Source organism: Homo sapiens, chromosome 5 (genome assembly GCF_000001405.40).
Source record: "Homo sapiens chromosome 5, GRCh38.p14 Primary Assembly".
Classification (NCBI taxonomy): domain Eukaryota; kingdom Metazoa; phylum Chordata; class Mammalia; order Primates; family Hominidae; genus Homo; species Homo sapiens.
The window spans coordinates 31955096-31978862 of NC_000005.10; the positions used below are offsets into that span (position 1 = coordinate 31955096).

The 23767-nt window shown below is 44.8% G+C and overlaps 1 protein-coding gene across 6 annotated transcripts in view, besides 1 other annotated feature; it reads left to right on the forward strand.

Moving 5' to 3' along the window:
* Positions 1–23767, forward strand: part of PDZD2 (PDZ domain containing 2) — a 471802-nt gene that overhangs the window by 315965 nt on the left and 132070 nt on the right. The gene's annotated exons all lie outside the window — the stretch shown is intronic.
* Positions 10147–10648: an enhancer, noted in NCBI's record as "NANOG hESC enhancer chr5:31965348-31965849 (GRCh37/hg19 assembly coordinates)". NCBI's record gives its function as "activates a minimal SCP1, AML or CMV promoter by ChIP-STARR-seq in primed H9 embryonic stem cells {active_cell/tissue: H9 hESC(primed)}" and the evidence as "EXISTENCE:reporter gene assay evidence [ECO:0000049][PMID:30033119]".

A 23767-nucleotide genomic window follows, 5' to 3' on the forward strand; every position in this document is an offset into this window, starting at 1 on the left:
TGGACCAAGGAGCCGAGAATGGTATACAGATGTTTCTGAGAACTTTCCCTGTCTTCTTTCTTTTTTGGAACAGGCTTCTTTCTAGCTGAGCCTATGCGCTGACATTGGGATGATTCACATGTGACCCTCTAGAATGCTAGATTAGAAGGTTGGCAAGAAAAGAAGGATGTTGGTTGGCCTCCATCTTTGGTGGGTTTTTTTTTTTGTTTTGTTTTGTTTTTTCGAGACGAAGTCTTGCTCTGTCTCCCAGGCTGCAGTGCAGTGGCATGATCTCGGCTCACTGCATCTTCTGCCTCCCAGATTCCAGCAATTCTCCTGCCTCAGCCTCCTGGGTAGCTGGGATTACAGGCATGCACCACCACGCCCAGCTAATTTTTGTATTTTTAGTAGAGACGGGGTTTTACCATGTTGGCCAGGCTGGTCTTGAACTCCCGACCTCAGGTGATCTGCCCCACCTCGGCCTCCCAAAGTGCTGGGATTACAGGCGTCAGCCACCATGCCCGGCCCTTTGTGTTGTTTCCTAGTCTCTCATTTATCTTTCCCTGACCTTTATGATTTTCTTCCTTCTGCTAACTTTGGGCTCTGTTCTTTTTTTTTTTTTTTTTTTCTTCTCTAGTTCTTTCAGATCAAAAGTTAGGTTATTTGCAGTCTTAATTTTTTCTTAATTTAGGCACTTATTGCTATAAACTTGCCTCTTAGAACTGCTTTTGCTGTGTCGAAGTTTGGGTATGTTGGGTTTCCATTTTCACTTTTCTCAAGATATTTTTAAAATTTCCTTTTTGATTCTTTGACCCATTGATTGTTCAGGAATGTATTAATTTCCACATATTTGTGAGTTTTTCCATTTTCTTCCTATTATTTGTAGTTTTATACCATTGTGGTTGGAAGAGATACTTGATGTGACTTCAGTCTTCATAAATTGTTAAGACTTCCTTTGTAGCCCAACATATCTATCCTGGAGAATGTCCCATGTGCACATGAAAAAACTGTATTCTGCTGCTGTTGGATGGAATGTTCTAGATATTTGTCTGTTAGGTCCCTTGCTCTATAGTACTGTTCAAGTCCACTGTTTGCTTATTGATTTTGTCAGAATGATCTATCCATTGTTCAAAGTGGGGTATTGAAGTCTCCTACTGTACTGCTGCTTATTTCTTTCTTCCGTTCCGTTAATATTTGCTTTATATGTTTCGGTGCACCAATGTTGGGTGAAAAACAACAGAAAAGATCAATGAAACTAAGAGTTTTTTTTTTTTTTTTGAAAAGATAAAGTTTAGCTAGACTACCTAAACATTGAGAGGAAACTCAAAATCATAATGAAAGAGGAGATGTTAGTCCCAGCTACTCGGGAGGCTGAGGCAGGAGAATGGCGTGAACCCGGGAGACAGAGCTTGCAGCGAGCCGAGATCTCACCACTGCACTCCAGCCTGGGCGACAGAGTGAGACTCTGTCTCAAAAAAAAAAAAATAAATAAAATAAATAAATAAATATAAATAAATAAAATAAAAATACAAAAATTAGCCGGGTGTGGTGGCACATGCCTGTAGTCACAGCTATTCGGGAGGCTGAGGCAGAAGAATCGCTTGAACCAGGGAGGCGGAGGTGGCAGTGAGCCAAGATTGCGCCACTGCACTCCAGCCTGGGCAACAGAGCAAGACTCCATCTCAAAAAAAAAAAAAAAAAAAAAAAAAAAGGGACAAAGAGGAAACTGATTTCCTCCCAAAGCTTAGGTTCCTTTAAGCAACCTGCGTGAAGCATGGATAGATGACTTTGACATCTCCATTAGGTTTGCCTTTTATTTTTATTTCTTTTTTTAGAGATGGGGTCTTTCTCTGTCACCCAGGCTAAAGTGCAGTGACACGATCATACCTCGCTGTAGCCTCGAACTCCTGTAACATCTTAGTTTTTACTATACCTATAGGAGATCACTGGTTAAGACAAAAGGTATAAGGGACACTGATGAGTCAAATTAATTAGGTGCAAAACAGTTCTGATTCTCTATGTTCTCAAGATGATCTTCACCAGCCTGGAACTCCTGGGCTAAGGGTTTCCTTTCACCTCAGCCTCCTGAGTAGTTGGAACTACGGGCATGAGCCACCATGCCTGGCTCTGTTTACCTTTTTAAAAAATAATCTCTGCAGTGTGTTTAGTGAGGAGACCAGCTGAAATGACAGCACACTTAATGCCTATTGGCTCCTTTCCCCAGGAGGACATCGCCAGTCACGCAGTGGTTCAAGCTCTAGGAATTTAATCTAGCACAAGAGCCCACACTCGGTCAGGAGGTTGCACATCACAGACCAGTGCCTGGGGTGTTACGGGGCTGACCAGGGTAACATTCATACATGAACGAGTCAACTTAACACGCATTACCGAAAATCAGAAAATAATTGCTTAAACATTTTCCCTCTGAAATAGAAAGGTTTGAGAATCAGAAGCCGGTACTAAGTGGGAGAACAGTGGATGTTATGACCCAGATATCCAGGTCATCCCTCAGGTGATCAACTCTAGCCTCTGGAGACCAGGGGGTTGCCCATTATATGGCCTTAAGTGGTTTCTCCAGCTTGGTATCATAACATCTTGGTTTATTATTCCCGTAAGAGAACCATTGGTTAGGACAAAAGGCTTCATGGACACTGATGATTCAAATTAATGAGCATAACAGTGATGATTCTCTGTGTTCTCCTCAAGATGACTTCCACCAGACCTTCAAGTTGGAGTCATCCGATCAAAATATTTATACAGGAGCAATCTCTTGTTGTTCTGTCCAATGTAACTGCTGTTTGTTGAGGTAAAGGCTATTCATCCTTGCAGTATATACATTGAGGCAGTGTGATTACAAGTCACAGCTGGAAATCTCTTTCATCTTGCCACCTAGACACCAAACATCATAATTTTAAAAACAAACCCAGAAATTTTATACCATTTAAATCCAAAATTTACAAATGTCCGAGAATTAAAGCAGCAGGGCTTCCATATTATTCATGTCATAACACATAGGTAATTTTTCTTAGAATTTTAAAAATGTACACATTTAATATGTTTAAGTGATATATATTTACATTTTAGTAGCTCATCTTTGGTCTTACGTATTAATCTGAAGTAAATGAAATGGCAGGCATCATTTGTGAAATAGAGGAAATTATCTTGATATTTTTGTTTGCTTTTTGTTTTTTTTTTTTGAGACGGAGTCTCACTCTTTTGCCCAGGCTGGAGTGCAGTGGTGCAGTCTCAGGTCACTGCAACCTCTGCCTCCTGGGTTCAAGCGATTCTCCTGTCTCAGCCTCCTGAGTAGCTGGGATTACAGGTGCCTGCCACTGCGCCTAGCTAATTTTTGTATTTTTAGTAGAGATGGGGTTTCATCATGTTGGCCAGGCTGGTGTCGAACTCCTGACCTCAAGTGATCCACCTGCCTCAGCCTCCCCAAAGTGCCGGGATTACAGGTGTGAGCCACCACAGCTGGCTTATCTTGATATTGTTAAGGACTGTACTGCATTTTATTTATTATTAGTTTTAAAGACAAGTTTTAAAGTACTCCACCCCGCCCCCGTCATAGGATCTTGCTCTTTCACCCAGGCTGGAGAGCAGTGGTGCAATCACAGCTCACTGCAGCCTCGACCTCCTAGGCTCAAGCAATCCTCCCACCTCAGCCTTCCAAGTAGCTGGTGCTACAGATGGATGCCACAGCACCCAGCTAATTTTTTAAATAACATCTTTTGTATAGATGGTGATCTCATTTTGTAGCCCAGCCTCTTCTCAAACTCCTGACCTCAAGCGATCCTCCTGCCTTGGCCTCCCAAAATGCTGGGATTACAGGCGTGAGCCACCCGGCCTTTAAAGCACTCGATTGATTGATTGATTGAGATGGAGTCTCGCTCTGTCACCCAGGCTGGAGTGCAGTGGCGTGATCTCAGCTCTCTGCAACCTCCGCCTCCCAGGTTGAAGAGATTCTTCTGCCTTAGCCTCCCAAGTAGCTGGGACTACAAGCGTGTGCCACCATGCCCGGCTAATTTTTGTATTTTTAGTAGCAACAGGGTTTCACCATATTGGCCAGGCTGGTCTTCAACTACTGACCTTGTGATCCGCCCTCCTCAGCCTCCCAAAGTGCTGGGATTACAGGCATGAGCCACTGCGCCTGGCAAAGCACTTTAATATATATATTTATATATATATATAAAATAATATATTAACTTAAAATGACTTTGTTATATAATCATGCAATATGTTATTTTTAACAGGTCTTAGGGTTGTACAAGACCACTTATTGTGAAAAGTTTGTTTGTTTTTGAGACAGAGTCTCACTCTGTTGTCCAGGCTGGAGTGCAGTGGCATGATCTCAGCTCACTGCAACCTCCTTCTCTTGGGTTCAAGCAGTTCTTCTACCTCAGCCTCCCAAGTACCTGGGATTACAGGCATGCACCACCACTCCCAGTTAATTTTTGTATTTTTAGTAGAGACAAGGTTTCACCATGTTGGCCACGAACTCCTGACCTCAGGAGATCTTCCCACCTCGACCTCTCAAAGTGCTGGGATTACGGGCATGAGCCACTGCACCTGGCCTGTTGTGAAAGTTCAAGAGTCAATAAAGCTTGGAAAAATCTAAAGCGAGGGAAGAAGCCTATGTTACCTTTCTAGGACAGCCATAGCAAACCACCACAAATTGGATGGCTTAAAACAATACAAAGTATTCTCTGACAGTTCTAGAGACTTGAAGTCTGAAGTCAAGTGGTCAGCAAGGTTGGTTCCTTATGGAGGCTTTGAGGGAGAAACCCACTTGGCCATACCTCTCTCTCAGTTTCTAGTGGTTGGAGGCATTCCTGGCATTTCTCGGCTGGTAGACACATCCCTCAGTCTCTACCTCCATCTTCACATCACCTTTTTCTATCTCTGCCTGTCCTTTTCTCTTATCAAGACACACTCATTGGATTTAGGGGCTGCCCTAATCCAGGATGATCTCCTCTTGATCCTTAACTAATTATATCTTCAAAGACCCTGTTTCCAAACAAGGTCACATTCTGAGGTTTCAGGTGGACAGGAATTTTAGGAGGGGTGCTGTTCAACCTAGATGCTTGCTTGCTTTCTTTTCTTTCCTTCCTTCCTTTTCTTTCCTTCCTTTCCTTCCTTCTTTCCTTCCTTCTTTCTTTTTGACGAAGTTTCACTCTTGTTGCCCAGGCTGGAGTGCCATGGCGCGATCTCGGCTCACCACAACCTCCACCCCCCAGGTTCAAGAAGATTCTTCTGCCTCAGCCTCCTGAGTAGCTGGGATTACAGGATTACACCACTACACCACGCCCGGCTAATTTTGTATTTTCAGTAGACACAGTTGGTCAGGCTGGTCTCGAACTCCTGACCTCAGGTGGTCTGCCGCCTCGGCCTTCCAAAATGCTGGGATTACAGGCATGATCCACGGTGCCCGGCCAACCCAGATGCTTTCTACTCCTCCATTTCCAGTTGGAGGCAGAGTTAGAATTCATAGTCCTAACCCACTCTCCTCTCTCCTCCACCTAGATCCTGTGCCTTCACCTCCTCCCAGCTTAGCTAACTCCTGCTGGACCACGAACCACTGCCACTTCCTAAGGAAAACCTTGCTATCCACATCTACCCCCAAAGCAAGCCAGTCCCCCTTTTATAAGCTTCTGAAGTAACCCGTGCTTCTGTTGAAGCATTCTTCATATAATTAGTGTTGTTTTTTTCATTTACGTAATGTAAATTTATATTATATATTTTGTACATTCTATTTAATATTTTATGCTATGTAATATTTTATATAAAGTATAATTTTGTTAACAAATGTGTATAATTCTTTTAATGAATTACATATTGACTGTAAACTCTGTGAGGGTGTAGGGACCGACTGACTTATTCATTGCTTTGTACCAGCACTGAGCCCAATGCCATCACTCAATTTTTGAACCATATTCTCTTTATAACATCACTTTAATTTTTCAGAGAAAATCTGCTCCTCAGCACAAGACTGACCCCCTTCTAGGTCTGCTATTGACTGCCTTATCAGGAATTCCCCTTTTGGGGATGCAGGCTGGGGGAGTTATGTGTTTTCTTTATTCAGCCTTCATGTCCCACAAAGCAGGGAAAAGATCAATGGTTGGATTTTGTGTTGTCTGAGGGATGTCTACATTGCCTTGAAATCTGAGGCAGGGCATTTAAAATACAGCTCCTTTGCCTGTAATCCCAGCGCTTTGGGAGGCCGAGGCTGGCAGTTCACTTTGAGACCAGGCGTTTGAGGGCAGCTGGGGAAACATGGCGAAACTCCGTCTCTACAAAAAAAAAAAAAAAAATTAGCCAGGCATGATGGTGTGCACCTGTAGTCTCAGCTACTAGGGAAGCTGAAGTGAGAGGATCCCTTGAGCTCAGGAGGTCGAGGCTGCAGTGAGCTGTGATCACACCATACACTCCAACCTGGGCAACAGAGTGAAATCCTGTCTCAAAAAATAAAATACAATACAGCTTCATTCATTGATCCTATTGAGATTTAAGAAAAGAATAGCATAAGGAAGCTCACTTTTCTTATTTGTTCTTCCTCTCAGTTGCTTTGTTTTGTTTGTTTGTTTTTTTGAGACGATGTCTTGCTCTGTCGCCCAGGCTGGAGTGTGGTGGCGCAATCTCGGCTCACTGCAGTCTCTGCCTCCGGTTTCAAGGGATTCTCCTGCCTCAGCCTCCTAACTAGCTGGGATTATAGGCATCCACCACCACGCCTGGCTAATTTCTGTATTTTTAGTAGAGACAAAGTTTCACTATGTTGGCTAGGCTGCGCCCACCTTGGCCTCCCAGATTCTGGGATTACAGGCAGGAACCACCAAGCCTAGTCTCAGCTGCTTTTTTTTACCCTTTCCCTCCCACCTTCTATCCACCACCCTGGCTCCAGGTAGAGAGAGAATTGGGTCATCTAAATTTTAAAAACAAATTTTCTTTAGACAGGGTATCAATAGTCTCTGATTTGGAACTTTAGCCATATGAAAGGGCCTTGTAAGGGTCCTTTAGACTTAGCCACACATTTGTTTTTTGAAGATGTTCCCAATGAAATTGGACCTTATAAACTTTGTGCCTGATGATTTAAAGAACCCCCTTTTTCAGCTCTTCTCTTAAGAAATAGTGTTGACATTTTCCACAGATCTGCTTGTGTATCTTAACTTCTCTTTCCTTTAAGTCATTTCTGACTTTTAGCAGTCTTTCCTTTAACTCCTCTCCTTTTGCTCAAACCCAAAGTACCTGGAGGCCGTCCCTTTTGAGAACAGGTGGTGCCAATACGTAAATCCTTTAGGGAAGTTGGACAGGAAGGGAAAATAAATAAATCTCACCTGACACTCTCAGCAGGCCTGAAGAGCTTGTCTCAGAGGGCGGCAACGAGTCTCTTAGGAGGAAATGTCTGCAGAGAGTCAGGGTGTGAAGTGTTAATAGCAAGAACCCCGTGGTTGAGTGGTGCTCTGCCCTTGGCAGTGCAGTGTCCTGGGCCTCCCCTGGAACCTATTTTGAGCCTGTTAAGCATCTGGTGAATTGTGTATCTCAAGTCCTGAACTGGGACTGCTGCCACCCGCATAAAGCTCCAATCTGCACGGAGAAGGAGTGTGGTTTGCACCCCAGCCTGGGGAGCTAGAACAAGTTGGGATGCCCCTGTATCTGTGAAGAGTATTTGTGAGTCTCAAGGGAACAGTGCCACAAGGGAAAACTCTCTTATCAAGGTTTCCTCCCTACCCCACCCAGAGATTTAAGGAACTCCTCTGTTCAAATGCTTTTGTTTCTGTCCCCTTCCAGATTCTTCCAGATCACACTCTTCCCGGTGTGAAGTTCAAGAAATAATTTTTCTCGGTGTTTGTTTTTCCATGCAGGCCCTGGCTTTGATTTTGCTTTTGGATGCTTTCCGTTTTCTCTAAATAGGAGGGTTCCAAGTCTAGTGTGTGCTGTCTGCCTGTTATTTCCTGCTGAGAACACTTGGTAATGAAGTGAGTTCCTAGTACTCTAAAACATGTTTGTGGCTCAAAAGCCCATACCTGCTCATACCTCTGAAGTCAGGCCAGACAAGAGCAGAGGCCCCAGCTATTCATGCTGTGGGCATTTTCTCCCAGAGCTGGACTTTGATGTCTGCAGAGACCTTCTCTTGACATTTAAAAACCATCACAATGTTGACTGACTAATGGCATTGTAATATGTTTAAACATTTAATATTACCACAACAGAGCTTTTGAAACTCCTGCCTCAGGAAAGGGAAAAACTTGATTTTTTCCTTTTAAAGGAGGCAGATGAGCCAAAAGGAAGGGCTTTTGCCCAAATATTTGTGACAAATGGAGGGAAGATAAGAAAGCAGCTTTTCTGACCGGTAGGCCAGAACAGGGTGGGTGCTGGGAGAGGCGGGGGCTGTGCACACACACACACGTACATCTGATTTATTCGTGGTAGTTGCTTGTGTCCGTGGGAGCAGCCTAGCCTGCATGTTTTACAGAATATTCAGGGGTCAGCTGATCCCGCAGCCTCGCTGGGATGGGCAGCCTCCCAGGCTCCACCTTGAGTCTTGGGGCAATTCCAGGACCTCTGGGATCATCCTCGGAGTTCAGGTCAGGCCAGAAGGCGTTCTGTTTTCCTGGGAGTTAAGAGTCAGACTCCAGCTGATGGACCGGGAAGCAAAACAAGAGTCCAACATTGGTCTGTATTTTGAAAAACATCTGTCTCATCTCTCTCTGGCAGAAGAGCGTGGCTTGCAGTTAGCCCCACTCTGTGCTTAGGGTCTATACTAGCTCAATCCCCCAATGCCCAGCACCCAGGCATGCCCACACACACCCCCATCCTTCTCAATGCCATGATGTAGGCCCACCCAGCCCTCACAATACGTCTTTGCCTCAAGGGGCCAGCAGGGGCTCTGCCTCTAGGGTACATTTGCCCCAGCTTTCCAGCCCTCGAGTTTTAGAGTCCATTTCTGACTCTCTGCCTGTTCATGTGAACTTGATTTTTCCAGAGATACTTTTTTTCCAGACATGGCTACAGTTCCTTTTGTCCCACTCCTACCACAGAACGTGTTTGGACCCACCACCCTGTGTGAGTTCACTTTTCAGGGCTTCCAGCCTGGACAGTCACAGCAGACCAGTTTAACTAGTTGACCTCTGATTACTCAGAACATTTCTGACTGAGAAAGGAACTAACGGTAATTGGTATTTACTGTGTGGCAGGTGGGAATCCCACCATCTGAGTCCATTATCCCATTGAAGCCTCCTGTAGGTAGATGAGCCTGAGGGACTCATCTCTGAAGTTATATGGCTTTTCCAAGGGCCCAAATGGCAGTGCTGAGACCTGAACAAAGGATAATCTTGCACCAGATAGTTAATATTCAGATGAATTTGGATAAAGCTTTTTAGGTATTAGGGACAGAGAGTCCTAATCGGAAGGGGCCTTTTTTTGTTGTTTTTTTCCCACTACCAGCCCACAGATTGAACAGAAATCTTTGTGGATGCCTTTCATCCAACCTGGCTTCCCAAATATGCCTCCACCATCTTCTTTTACATCAGATTAGCTAAGTCCTGTCCATTCCTGACCAGCCTGTTTTGACGACTGTTACTTCCCACCATCTCCTTTTTGGGAAATATTTGGTTGGTACAAAACTAATTGCGGTTTTTGCCTTTTTTTTATTTTTATTTTTTGAGGCGGAGTCTCGCTCTGTCGCCCAGGCTGGAGGGCAGCGGCGCGATCTCGGCTCACTGCAAGCTCCGCCTCCCGGGTTCACGCCATTCTCCTGCCTCAGCCTCCCGAGGAGCTGGGACTACAGGCACCCGCCACCACGCCCGGCTAATTTTTTTGTATTTTTAGTAGAGACGGGGTTTACACTGTACCGTGTTAGCCAGGATGGTCTCGATCTCCTGACCTCGTGATCCGCCCACCTCCGCTTCCCAAAATGCTGGGATTACAGGCATGAGCCACCGCGCCCGGCCAGTTTTTTTGCCATTTTAATGGCACCAACCTAATACTGATAGGGCTCCGATGAGTGGAGCAACACCAGGTTCTTCCTCTCCAGTCAAATTAGATAAAACGACACGGACACACGTGGAGTGGTTTTAAGGAGTGGTAGAGAGTTTAATAAGCAAGAAAGAAAAGAGAAAGCAGAAGGAAGAGGCTCTCCCATACAGAGACGGAGGAGAGCTCCAAAGCCAAAAGAAGAGACCCCCAAGTGGGGTGGAAACCAGCCAGGTATGTGTAGAGGCTGGAGGAGGCAGTGTCTGATTTGCATAGGGCACAGGGGATTGGTTTGACCAGACATGTCATTCATGTAACCTGCAAAAACATTGGCCCTCTCACCCTAGCCTTTTAATATGCAAATACAGGGCACCATGATGTTCTACACACGGGGGGATATGTTGCCAGGCACGTGTGGGGCAAGGGCAAGAAGACAACAGTGAGAATCGCCATGTTTGGGTAGACCCAGTTTCTAATGGCCTGTATTTGCATATCAAAGGTTACCGGCTCTAAGAGCTAGGGCTTTACAAGAAACTGCTTTCTGGAGCTGCTTTAAAAATGGAAACTTCGGCTGGGCGCAGTGGTTCACTCCTGTAATCCTAGCACTTTGGGAGGCCAGGGCACGTGGATCACCTGAGGTCAGGAGTTCAAGACCAGCCTGACCAACATGGCGAAACCCCATCTCTACTAAAAAATACAAAAAATTAGCCAGGCATGGTGGCACACACACCTATAATACCAGCTACTCGGGAGACTGAGACAGGAGAATCACTTGAACCCAAGAGGCAGAGGTTGCGGTGAGCCTGGATCGCACCATTGCACTCCAGCCTGGGCAAGAGTGAAACTCCGTCTCCAAAAAAAAACACCAACCAAAACACTTAAAATGCAATCCTTTATCAAGTTAAAGTGGGGCAAGTCCTCCTTGGGTTGTTTGAAGCTGCAGCCCTTCTCCTCATCCAAACCTGGTCATGATGAGCAGCATTAGGATGGGACTTTGGCATAGGGAATCCCAAGGTCATGGTAAGGGTTTTTGTTTTGTTTTTTGGGAATCAGACAGAGGCAGAGTTGAATCCCAGCTCTACTGTTTTCAGCTTTCTGACCTTGGGCGAGTTAATCTCTTTAAACCTCAGTTTTCTTACCTTTAAAAGACAGATTATGAATTCTACCTTGGTAGGGTTGTTTTAGATTGAAATGAGCTGATGTGTGTGTGCAGTTAACACAGTACACAGACTATAGGTACTGTAGTTAATATTGTACCTCCCCCCATGTCTTTTATAAAACCCACGTTAGTTTTTGGAACTCCTAAAATAAACATACCATTAAAAGCAAGCTTTGCATTTTCAACATTTGTGTTTGTGCATCCAACAATTTAGGGTTTCCTTAATGCTTCACTTACCATTATTTTTAAATTAAATCCCAGTAGATAAATTCAAATGCCTCTGCATTTTCCTGTCTGAATATAACTGAGAACCAGGGGTCGCAGAGAGATTGAACCCATCACAGTTTCAGTTGTCAACAGACCCATGAAGAGTGCACTGATCAGAATCCAAGACTTAAAAGTTGCTCTGTCAACATCTGTAAAGACATGGCTTATCCGTTTTTCTAGGCCAGGGTTCTGTTGGTTTAGTTTTCTTGTAATCAAAGTCCTATAAACCAAGAGGAAAAATTCGAAAGAATTGTGAAGACAGATGAACAACAGGGAAAATATCCGACTAACTTGGCTTCTAAGGAGTATCCTTTGCTTGGGGAGGAAGGTCACAGAACTTAGCAAGCCAGTCTGCATGAGCCATCGTAGATTAGGGGACTTGCCGGCCCCACCAGCCTGCCTGCCACAGAGCCTCTGAAAAGAAAGAGAAAATCAGATCTTCAAAAATGCTCCGTACACTGTAGAGAAGAGATTCAGGAGAACAGTGCGTGACCTTAGCCAGAACATGTTGATGGGGATAGTCATTTTTGCAATTTCTTGAATATCTTTTCTCTGCTGGTTTCAAAATTGTGAAGTAAATTCAGAAAAGAAGCCCACTATTTTGATGGAAGCTGTTTTGACATAAGTGAAACCAGGCTTGGCACAAGGTGGAAGCAGGCTCTGGCCCAGGGAATGGAGCGGACGCTGGGAAGAATTGAGGCAAGCTGGGGAAATTGTTTCAAGATGGAGCTGGATCCACTTGAAAGGGAAGGGAACTGGAGGGTACAGACATGCCGTCAATGTTTGAATTTGTGTGTGAGGAGCATCAAGTGCCTTCTGAGATACATGGACCCACGGGAATCTGCCTTCTTTTAGAGTCACCTCTGAGGAAGGTAAGGAGAGTGGCCGCCTTTTGGATGCTGCACTATGCGGGCTTGAGGATTACTTACTGGCCCGTTGTGACCTGTTGGATTTGGCTGGTTTGGAGAAAGTCAGGCAGAAATGGCAAATGTGCCAGCAGCTCTCACAGTGGAGGAACATGGGAGATGTGGCAGGGGCAGTGTGCAACTCAGCCCTTAGATCATCTTTGACACACTTTTCAGGGTGTGGTGGCCTTGAGGTTAGAAGATACATCAGACATAATCTCTGAGATACGGTCTGCCCTCAGTTATCCCTGGGCGTTGATAGTAGCCTCTTCCAAGGCAAGGCTAAGGGCACTGCTATGTGTAGGAAAGCACAGGAATTGCCACGGGCAGTGCACCTGGCAGGGCTGAAGACTTGGGGAGGAGGATGCCCTGGATTTTCTGTTTTTCAGCCCTGGGCAATCTTCAGCTCTGAAGGACAAGTCATAGCAAAGCCCCCTGTGATAGGAAATACATGTTTTTGGCTGGTCCAGGGAGCAGGGCACAGGGGAGGTTTGGAAGCTTATTAGCACATGAGCTGGGCCAAGAAAGTAGAGAGATTTGGACACAAATACATAGAGAAAGTAAAAAATAAAATGCAGTTGATATGATTGCATGGTAACATGAATATATTAGCATACACAACTGCTATAGACTGAATGGTCTCTCCACCCGGAATCGACATATTGAAATCTAATCCCCCATGCAAAAGTATTTGGAGGTGAGGCCTTGGGGAGGTGATTAGATCATGAGGGTGGTGCCTTCATGAATGGGATTAGTGCACTTATAAAAGAGACTTCAGTTCGTGACCAGCCTGGCCAACATGGTGAAACCCCATCTCTACTAAAAATACGAAAATTAGCCAGGCGTGGTGGTGCATGTCTGTAATCCCATCTACTCGGGTGGTTGAGGTAGGAGAATGGCTTGAACCCGAGAGGCAGAGGTTGCAGTGAGCCGAGATCGCACCACTGTGCTCCAGCCTGGGCGACAGAGTGAGACTGTGTCTCAAAAACAAAAAACAAGCTGGGCACGGTGGCTCACGCCTATAATCCCAGCACTTTGGGAGGCTGAGGTGGGTGGATCTCCTGAGGTTGGGAATTCGAGACCAGCCTGACCAACGTGGAGAAACCCTGTCTCTACTAAAAATACAAAATTAGCTAGGCATGGTGGCGTATGCCTGTAATCCCAGCTACTAGGGAGGTTGAGGCAGGAAAATTGCTTGAACCCAGGAGGCGGGGAGGTTGGGGTGAGCCGAGATTGCACCACTGCACTCTAACCTGGGCAACAAGAGCGAAATTCTGTCTCAAAAAACAAACAAACAAACAAAAAAAACAACCAGACTCCAGAGAGCTCCTTTACTTCATCCACCATATGAAGACAAAACACAAAGGCGCCATCAGTGAAATGGGAAGTGGCCCTCACCACACGTCAAGTCTGCTGCACCTTGATCTTGAACTTTCAGCCTCCGGAACTGTGAGAAATAAATTTCCGTTGTTAATAAGCTACCCAGCCTACAGTAATTGTTACAGCAGCCTGGATAGATAAAAACGAAAACATGTCATATACTATTACTTTAGCAGTGTTTGGAGCTTTTGTTAATGAGGAAAGACTTGGTTGCATGATGACAAAGTGGAGTTGATTTGTGACGTTGGAATGGTGGGAATAATGTGGAGAGGATGCTTTGGAGGTGGAAGGGGCCACCAGGGGATTCATGGCCTAAACTAAATGGAATGGTAGATACTCACTGGACTGATGTGAGGGGAAGGGATGTGTGAGATGCTAGCGGGACTATGAGATCTGTCTCTTCAGGGTAATGGGGCATGTTAGGAAAGTGAGAAGGAAAGTGAGAAAGATAACACCAAAAGGACATGTTCAGCCAGGCACGATGGCTCATGCCTGTAATCTCAGCACTTTGAGAGGCTGAGGTGGGCAGATCGCTTGAGCTCAGGAGTTCGAGACCAGCCTGGGCAACATGGTGAAACCCTGTCTCTACCAAAAATACAAAAAATTAGCTATTGCATAGTGGTGCACACCTGTAGTCCCAGCTACTCAGGAGGCTGAGGTGGGGGAATGGCTTGAGCCTGGGAGGCAGAGGTTGCAGTGAGCTGAGATTACACGACTGTACTCCAGGCTGGGTGACAGAGCAAGGCCCCCTCTCCAAAAAAAAAAAAAAAAAAAAAAAAAACAATGGATATGTTCTCACAAATTGAGATTTTGTAGGGGGTAAGTGGCTCTAGAGATAGAAAGTGGTGGCTGGGATTAGAATGGGCATTAACTGTGAAGTGGGCATGAGGGATCTTATTAGAGTGATGAAAATGTCCTAAACTGATTTATGGTGATGGTCACACAACTTGGTAAATTTCCTAAAAATCACTGAATTATACCTTTGAAACAGATGAATTATATATGTTGGATATGCCTCAGTAAAGTCATCTTTTAAAGAGTCTCTTTTTTTGTTTTTAATGGATCTTTTCATGGACCAGCATTTTTTTGTGGTGCCGCCACTGTGCTGGTGCATGAGGGTGCACAGACTAAATAGTTTATTTATTTATTTATTTATTTTTTGAGACGGAGTTTCGCTCTTGTTGCCCAGGCTGGAGTGCAGTGGTGTGATCTCGGCTCACCGCAACTTCCGCCTCCCGGGTTCAAGCAGTTCTCCTGCCTCAGCCTCCCGAGTAGCTGGGATTATAGGCATGCACCACCACCCCTGGCTAATTTTGTATTTTTAGTGGAGACAGGGTTTCTCCATGTTGAGGCTGGTCTCGAACTCCTGACCTCAGGTGATCCGCCCACCTCGGCCTCCCAAAGTGCTGGGATTACAGACGTGAGCCACCGCGCCCGGCCCGACTAAATAGTTTTACAAAGGGCAAAAATAGGCAATTCTCAAGACAAATGACTACTAAGAATTTTGACCTCAGTAGTCATCACTGACTTGTGGATTTGAAGTAAAGTGAGGTAGATTTTGGTTATTAGACTGGCAAGGATTATAAAGAGCGACAAGAGTGACAAGATTGTAAAGAGTCAGAAGAGCACAGTGGCTCCCGCTGGTAATCCCAGCACTTAGGGAAGCTAAGGTGAGCAGATCACTTGAGGTCAGGAATTCGAGACCAGCCTGGCCAACGTGAAGAAACCTTGTCTCTACTAAAAATACAAAAATTAACCGGGCATGATGGTGGGTGCCTATAATCCCAGCTACTCCAAAGGCTGAGGCAGGAGAATTGCTTGAACCTGGGAGGTGGAAGATGCAGTGAGCCGATATCACGCCACTGCACTCCAGCCTGGGTGACAGAGTGAGACTCCACCTCAAAAATAAATAATTAAAAAAAAAAGAGTGACAATATTCAGGAACACATGGGTTCTCTAAGACACCACTGATGGGATTCTAAATTGTCACCCTCTTGCTAAAGGAAAGATTGGCAGTACATATGAAAGAATTTGAATGTGCTTATGATCCAGTAAGACCTTTGACCTAGGAAATCCCCCTAAAGGTATTTATCTTCAGGAGACTTCACCATCAACATGCTGACACTTTGCACACTTTTATCTTCGGACCAGTCTGCTGCTCCCAAATCCATTCAGATATCCAGCTGCCTCACAACTACCACATGAGCACCTCAAACTCAAGGTGTCCAGAACTTCTGAATAGATCTATGCATTCAGAATAGGTCAGATAGACCCTTCCCCAGAAAGCTGCTCTACAGCCTCAGGTGATGACTGCTCACTCCATCCTTTCAGGTGCTCAGATACCTAGACACCACCTGTCTCAGTCCATTTGTGCTGCTATAACAAAAATACCACAGATTGGGTGATTCATGAAAACAGAAACTTATTTCTCACAGTTCTGGAGGCTGGGAAGCCCAAGATCAAGGCACCAGCAAGCTTGGTGTCTAGTAAGGGTGTGGGCTCTGCTTCCAAGATAGCACCTTGTTGCTCCATCCTCCAGAGGGGATAAACGCTGTGTCCTCTTACAGTAGGAAGAATGGAAGAGCAGAAAAGGCCTTGCTAGTTCTTCCAGTCCTTTTATTAGGTAGCTAATCCCATTCACGAGGCCTCTGGCCCCATGATATAATTACATCCTAAATGCCTCACCTCTTAATGCTATCACATTGGGATTTAAGTTCCAACACTGGGATTTTGGAGGGACACATACACTAAAACCATAGTACCATCTCGACTCCTCACATCCCATATCCAATCAAAAAGCAAAAGCTGTTGTCTCTAGCTTCATAATTGATGATGATTTTGGCCATTTCTTACCATTTTCACTGCTATTCTACAGTGAGCCACCTTTTCCCTCACTGGAATTCCTGTAGATGTTATTCTCTCTGGTCTCTGCTTCTAACCTATTCCCAACACAGAAACAAAGGGGTCATATTAAAACATAATACATTTCACATTCCTCCTCTGCTCAAAACTCAGTGGCTCCCCATTTGCACAAAGGTCTTTAACAACAGCCTAGAAGTCTTTGCATAAATGGGTCTCTGTTACCTCTCCTAACTTAACTCCTATTACTCCTCACTCACTACTTTTCAGCCACAAAGGCCTCCTTGCTGTTTCTCCAACACAGCAGGTATGATTCCAGTTTACCACTTTTACACTGGCTGTTCCCTCTGTCTGGAACATTCTTCTCCCAGGTAGCTGCACGGCCAACTCTTTGCCTTCTTCAAGTCTTTATTCAATGTATTCTTCCCAGTGGGGCTACTCTAACTGCAGAATTTAAAATTTCAACCTGACTTCCAACCCTTTGCATGCTGGAACCTTTGTAGCCTGTTCAGTGTTTCGTTGAGGGTTTCACTCCCATTGCCCAGGCTGGAGTGCAATGGCGCAGTCTTGGTTCACTACAGCCTCTGCCTCCCAGGATCAAGCGATTCTCTAGCCTCAGCCTCCCAAGTAGCTAGGACCAGAGGTGCACACAACTGCACCTGCCTAATTTTTGTATTTTTTATAGACATGGGGTCTCACCATGTTGCCTAGGCTGATCTTGAACTCCTGAGTTCAAATGATCCACCCGCCTCAGTCTCCCCAAGTGCTGGGATTACAGATGTGAGCCACAGCACCCAGCCTTTTCAGTGTTTTCTATTTCTTGTAGCCCATCTCACTTTCTAACACACCTTATAGATGGATGCTTACTTTAATAGGTGTATCATGTCTGTTTGCCCCACTAGATTGTAAGCTCCACAAAGACAGGAATCTTGGTTCACTTCTGTGTCCTCAAATGCCTATAACAGTGCCTGGCTTGTAGTAGTTATTCAGTAACTATTTGAATGAATAATGAGTGAGTGAATTTGTAATGAACAACTAGTAATTTTATGAACAAAAATAGCATCATGTCAAGAGGAAGAAAAGTGAAATGAGTTCCTACATATGTGTTCTGATGTTCCTCAGTTCCCTGATGAGGTGAGACTGACTCAATCATGTACAGCAAAGTCTGACTCCCACCACTCCCTGTTGTACCACCCCTCCAGGAAAATGTGGCAAACCTCATCAAGATAAGTTGTGTGGTAGAGCTGTGTGTCTAGAGTTCTAATTTGATTGTGTATAGACTGCAGGTAAATCTTAGAGAATTATAAGGAACCTTGATCCACTCACAGTAATTTAATAAAGAAATGCAATCACTGGCAAATAGAAGCCTAGAGATTCTCTCTCTTTTTAGGGCCAGTATCTCTGCAGTACGTTTTATAAAATCAGTTCTCATTGTTGATCAAGAATTTTCTGCTTCATTTAGCTTCTGAGTTCCTATTTCCAACAGGTGTATGGGTGCTGTAAAACGCTTTTATTGATTCATAAAGAAAGGAGGTGCATGAAAACCTTTGAGGAAACCAAATCTTCATGTAAGCTTACGTGATAGAAAGGCCATACTGTTATTCCCTTCCTGTGATGCTTTATGGGAGTTGAAATGTGCAGTGCATCATATTGGTGGAGTTACTTTGTTGTAAGAGTGTAAATTTAAGTCATTCATGATAGTTCGAGATGTGAACTTTCAAGATCAATATGAAAGTGAAACTTTGTTGCATGGAGATCAAAATAATTTTTTTCATTGATCATATCATTTAGCTGCTTTTTATCTGGTGTTTTCTGTAGTTCTCCCTCTTCGTACTCCTTAAATCTAGGAGCTCTTAGCAGTAAACAGAAAAAGAACTACCTCTGCTTCAGCACAGAGGGATATTGCAGCTAATGGTCCAATGAGTGCCAAGAGGTGGAATTTAACCAGGGAAAGGTGGAGGATGGACACTTAATGCTGATTGACACAAATGTAGCTGCTGCCTTAGAAGCTGGTATCCTGAATTTAGTTAGAGTGTTATGCAATCATAGAGTAAAATATCTATCTCTTTCTTACTCCTCTTAATATAATTCTACCTCTGTTCTCTCTTAAAGAGAAGTTTATTTTCAGCTGGACTCAGTGACTCATGCCTGTAATCCCAGAACTTTGGGAGGCCGAGGCAGGAGAATCACTTGAGGCTAGGAGTTTGAGACCAGCCTGGGCAACATAGCAAGACCCCATTTCTATCATACAAAAAATAAACTAGCTGGGAGTGGTGGCCTGCGCCTATAGTCACAGCCACTTGGGAGGCTGAGGCAGGAGGATCACTTGAACCCAAGAGTTCAAGACTGCAATGAGGTTTGTTTTGTTTTGTTTCATTTTGTTTTGAGACAGAGTCTCACTCCGTCACCCAGGCTGGAATGTAGTGGTGCCATCTTGGCGCTCTGCAGTGTCCACTTCCAGGGCTCAAGCAATTCTCCTGTTTCAGCCTCCCAAGTAGCTGGGATTACAGGCACCCGCTACCACGCCCAGCTAATTTTTGTATTTTTAGTAGAGATGGGGTTTCACCATGTTGACCGGGCTGGTCTCTAACTCCCGACCTCAGGTGATCTGCCCACCTTGGCCTCCAAAAGTGCTGGGATTACAGGCTTGAGCCACCGCACCCAGCTGGCTGCAGTGAGTTATGCTTGCAGCACTGCATTTCAGGCTGGGCGACAGAGTGAGATCTTGTCTCACAAAAAAGAAAAAAGAAAAAAAAAATTATTTTCAATATTGGTTTGAGTTTTAAGATGCGTATTGGTTTATATTAATCATTGGTATCAAGAATAGAATGTCATTGAGCTCCTTTTACAGGCTTAATGTTGGGGAAAAGACCAATTATAAACTGACTTATTTTGTGTATTTTCCCATTATACATCGAGAACTATGGTTTTACTCGTAAGCTACCAAGCTAATGCACCAGAGTTTTATGGATGTCGGCAGAAGACAGACTCCTGGCTCAAAGATGAAAAACGTTCATTACTGACAGAAATAGCAGTATCCAGAGTATCAGCATATTTGCACTGGCTTCCTAAGCCCCAGTTCCTTCAGGGCAGTATGGACCTCTGTCTTGGTGTATAGATGAGTGTGACTTAAATTCCACTGCTAAACTATGTGGTGTCTGGGTGCAGTGGCTCACACCTGTAATGCCAGCACTTTGGGAGGCCAAGGCAGGAGGATTGCTTGAGCCTGGGAGGTTGAGGCTGCAGTGAGCCATGATTGTGCTACTGCATTCCAGGGACATAGTGAGACCGTGTCTCAGAAACAAACAATAAACTATGTAATGGTAACAAGATTTGGTAGTTGATAATTTGAATTGGGCGTGAATGACTAATAATGTATCATTGGTCAGAAAAAAATCTCGAATAAATATTTACCCTAATTATTTCTTCACTCAGCGTGTGTCTCCCAATTTAAATTTTGTGATAACAATAATTAAATGTACACATTTTGTAATGAAGAAGACATATTTGTTTATTTGTATTCTGTATTAGTTTTTCACGCTGCTAATAAAGACACACCCGAGACTGGGTGATTTATAGAGGAAAGAAGTTTAATGGGCTTACAGTTCCATGTGGCTGAGGAGGCCTCACAATCATGGTAGAAGGCAAATGAGGAGCAAAGTCACATCTTACATGGCAGCAGGCAAGAGAGCATGTGCAGGGGAATTTCCCTTTATAAAACCATCGGATCTCGTGAGACTTACTCACTCTCACGAGAACAGCACGGGAAACACCCACTGCTATGATTCAGTTACCTCCCACCAGGTCCCTCCCATGACATGTGGCAATTATGGGAGCTACAATTCAAGATGAGATTTGGGTGGGCACCCAGCCAAACCATATCATATTCCCTGCTCTAGATTCCAGATAAGGGAGAGGAGGGAGGCGGTGCTCAGCCCCAGCCATTTATGCTGAGTAGAGGAGGTGAGAAGTAGTTGGTAGTGACTTCCTCAGTCTCTTCCTTCAGCGAGCAGTTGGAGTGCACTGTTCTAGTCACATCTATTCCTAGGCCTAGACTCTGACCTGTTTTCAAAGTCTCATATGCCTAAGCCCTGGCTTGCTCTCTCTCCCTTTCTTTATTAGCAAAGAAATCGATTATCTTCAGGAAAGGTATTATGAGCACACTGAAGGTATCAGTCACTTTTTTTTTATTTATTTTTTTTTTTTTTGAGACAAGGTCTTACTCTGTAACCAAGGGTGGAGTGAGGTGGCAGAGTCATGGCTCACTGCAGCCTCGACCTCCTAGGCTCAAGCGATCTTCCCGCCTCAGGCTCCCAAGTAGCTGGGAGTACAGGTGTGCACCACCACACCTGTTAATTTTTTGTAGAGATGGAGTCTCACTATGCTGCTCAGGCTGGGATATCAGCCACTCTTACTAGACAGTATTCAGCCAAAAAAATTCCACCTTGAGTCCCCTAAGGACAATTTGACTCTGTCTAGGGAGGCTTTTGGAATCTGTGAGGAAATTCAGTGTAGTAGGGAGGCGATACCTGAGAGAGAGTGCCCTTGGCAACCTGGGTCCCATCCCTCTTATGGAGCTGTCCAAACTTGCCCCCATTTCTCAGCTAGGACTTCCCTGGGAAATTAATCTGTATAGATTTAACACTTCCTCTCAACCAGTTGTTCTCTGGGAACCTGTAGATTTACAGCATCAGACAGTTCTCTGAGTTAATTAGGCTTAGCAGGTTTTCAAAAGACCACAAACAGCTTTGTAGCCTCCCATTACTTCTTAGGGGAGGGAAAATCCTGGGCACAAACAATTAATTGCTCTCCGTCCATCCTGTGTGTCCAACAAGGTGACTATTAGCAGCTAGTACTGTCCTATAAACTCAGACCCTGTCATAATAACTCATCTGTAAACATCCCCTTGTGGTTGGTGTTTATTCTCCTGTTGTCTGTGTAGGGACCTGACATACTCAGATGAAGTAAGAGTGCCTGCTTTGGTGAAAAGTCTTCAGAATTCTCTTGTGTTTATGGCATTGTAGTACAAGCCAGTGCCCAGTGGTGGTGATACAAGTTACTTTGTTTTTTTGTTTCTTTCTTTTCCTTTTTTTCTTCTTTCTTTTTTTTTTTTTTTTTTTTTGTGACAGAGTCTCCCTCGGTTGCCCAGGCTGGAGTGCCCTGGTGCCATCTTGGCTCACTGCAACCTCCGATTCCCAGGTTCAAGCGATTCTCCTGCCTCAGCCTCCTGAGCAGCTGGGATTACAGGCACGTGCTACCACGCCCGGCTAATTTTTGTATTTTTAGTAGAGACGGGGTTTCAGCACGTTGGTCAGGCTGGTCTCGAACTCCTGACCCCATGATCCACCCGCCTTGGCCTCCTGAAGTGCTGGAATTACATGCGTGAGCCAACGCGCCTGGCCAGTTTTGTTTTTTTTTTTTTAAAGTAGAGACAGCTTCCTGCCATGTTGCCCAGGCTGGTCTTGAACGCCTGGGCTCAAGCGACCCTCCTACCGTGGCCTCCAAAAGCTCTGAGATTGTAGGTGTCAGCCACAGCGTCTGGCCCCAAGTTACTTTGAATTGCACACATAGACATCCATGGTTCAGCTTGGCAGTACCCGCCATGGGTTCACACTATGTGACAGGCATTAATAATTGATGGCTGAATGCCCAGGATGATTTTCAGAGGTACCTGGAAATTGTTTCTTCCAAAGGTTTTGGCAAAACAGTCAAATATCAAAACTATACAGCTGCCTCAAGCCCTCTTTTAATAGAATCCCGGCATAGATAAATTGTGTATGTCTTCAGCTTTCTGACATCTCCCTGTATTTGGCCCTCTCTTATCTATTTTCTTGTCTTTCTTGGTCTTTAAACTCCAGGCAGCTTTATTCCTCCAGCTGTTCTAAGCCCCCACCCTCACCCGCCAACCTCTTCCCAGGACTCCCACCCTTGGAGAGCCCAGACTCCAGAATTATGATAGAGCATCAAGGAACAGAGGAGTTGCTCAAAACTTTCTTTGAGATAAGGCACCTTTTGCGGGAAAAGGAGGAGGACGTGATGTGTCCAGAATAGGCCTGGTGAGGTAAAGAACTACAACTGGCCAGACGCAGTGCCTCGCTCCTGTAATTCCAGCACTTTGGGAGGCTGAGGCGGGCGGATCACTTGAGGCCAGGAGTTCGAGACCAGCCTGGCCAACATGGCAAAACCCTGTCTCTACTGAAAATACAAAAAATTAGGCAGGCATGGTAGCGTGCACCCGTAATCCCAGCTACTTGGGAGGCTGAGGCAGGAGAATCACTTGAACCTGGGAGGTGGAGGCTGCAGTGAGCTGAAATCACACCACTGCACTCCAGCCTGGGCAACAGAGTGAGACTGTGTCTCTTAAAGAGAACTACAATAGATTTCAGAGGGAAAGTTCTAGGCTAAAACTCAGAACCGCATTTCTGGATACTGTGGTCTTTCCATTTGTCTTAAAGTCATCCTGCAAAGGTCAAAGTCAAATAAATCTTAATTGAATTAATAATTTTGCATGCCAGAGGAAAATTGCAAATTAAAAAAATATGTGATGGAGAAGCATCTGAAAGACTAACCATACCTGTTTATGGAGAGGAAGCCTTCTGTTTTTCTAGAGGACATGATTGTATTCCATTTCTTTCTCAAATACTGACTTCAGAGTTTACTGTAATGATTCTAATGCTGGGTAAGGATCCTACTGAACAGAAAAAGGGACTTGAATGTATGAAATAGTCAGAAGGGGTTGGAAAAGTTACATAAATCATTTAAATACACATGGATGGAGAATGCGGAGGCCTCATGTTGAAGGTGGTTTAAAGAATTCTAAGAATGGCCAGGCATGGTGGCTCACGCCTGTAATCCTAGAACTTTGGGAGGCCGAGGTGGGCGGATCACGAGGTCAGGAGATCGAGACCATCCTGGCTAACATGGTGAAACCCCGTCTCTACTAAAAGTACAATTAGCCAGGTGTGGTGGCAGGTGCCTGTAATCCCAGCTGTTCAGGAGGCTGAGGCAGGAGAATGGTGTGAACCCGGGAGGCGGAGTTGGCAGTGAGCCAAGATTGCACCGCTGCCCTCTAGCCTGGGCGACAGAGCGAGACTCCATCTCAAAAAAAAAAAAAAGAATTCTAAGAAAATACCCCCTATTTAAAGTCTCTCACCAGCTTGCTGCAGCATCCGTAATTCATTCATTGCCCTTTGTCTGCAGGAAGACCTTAGAAAATTCAGTGTCCAGGAAGGAATAAAATAACCTGTCA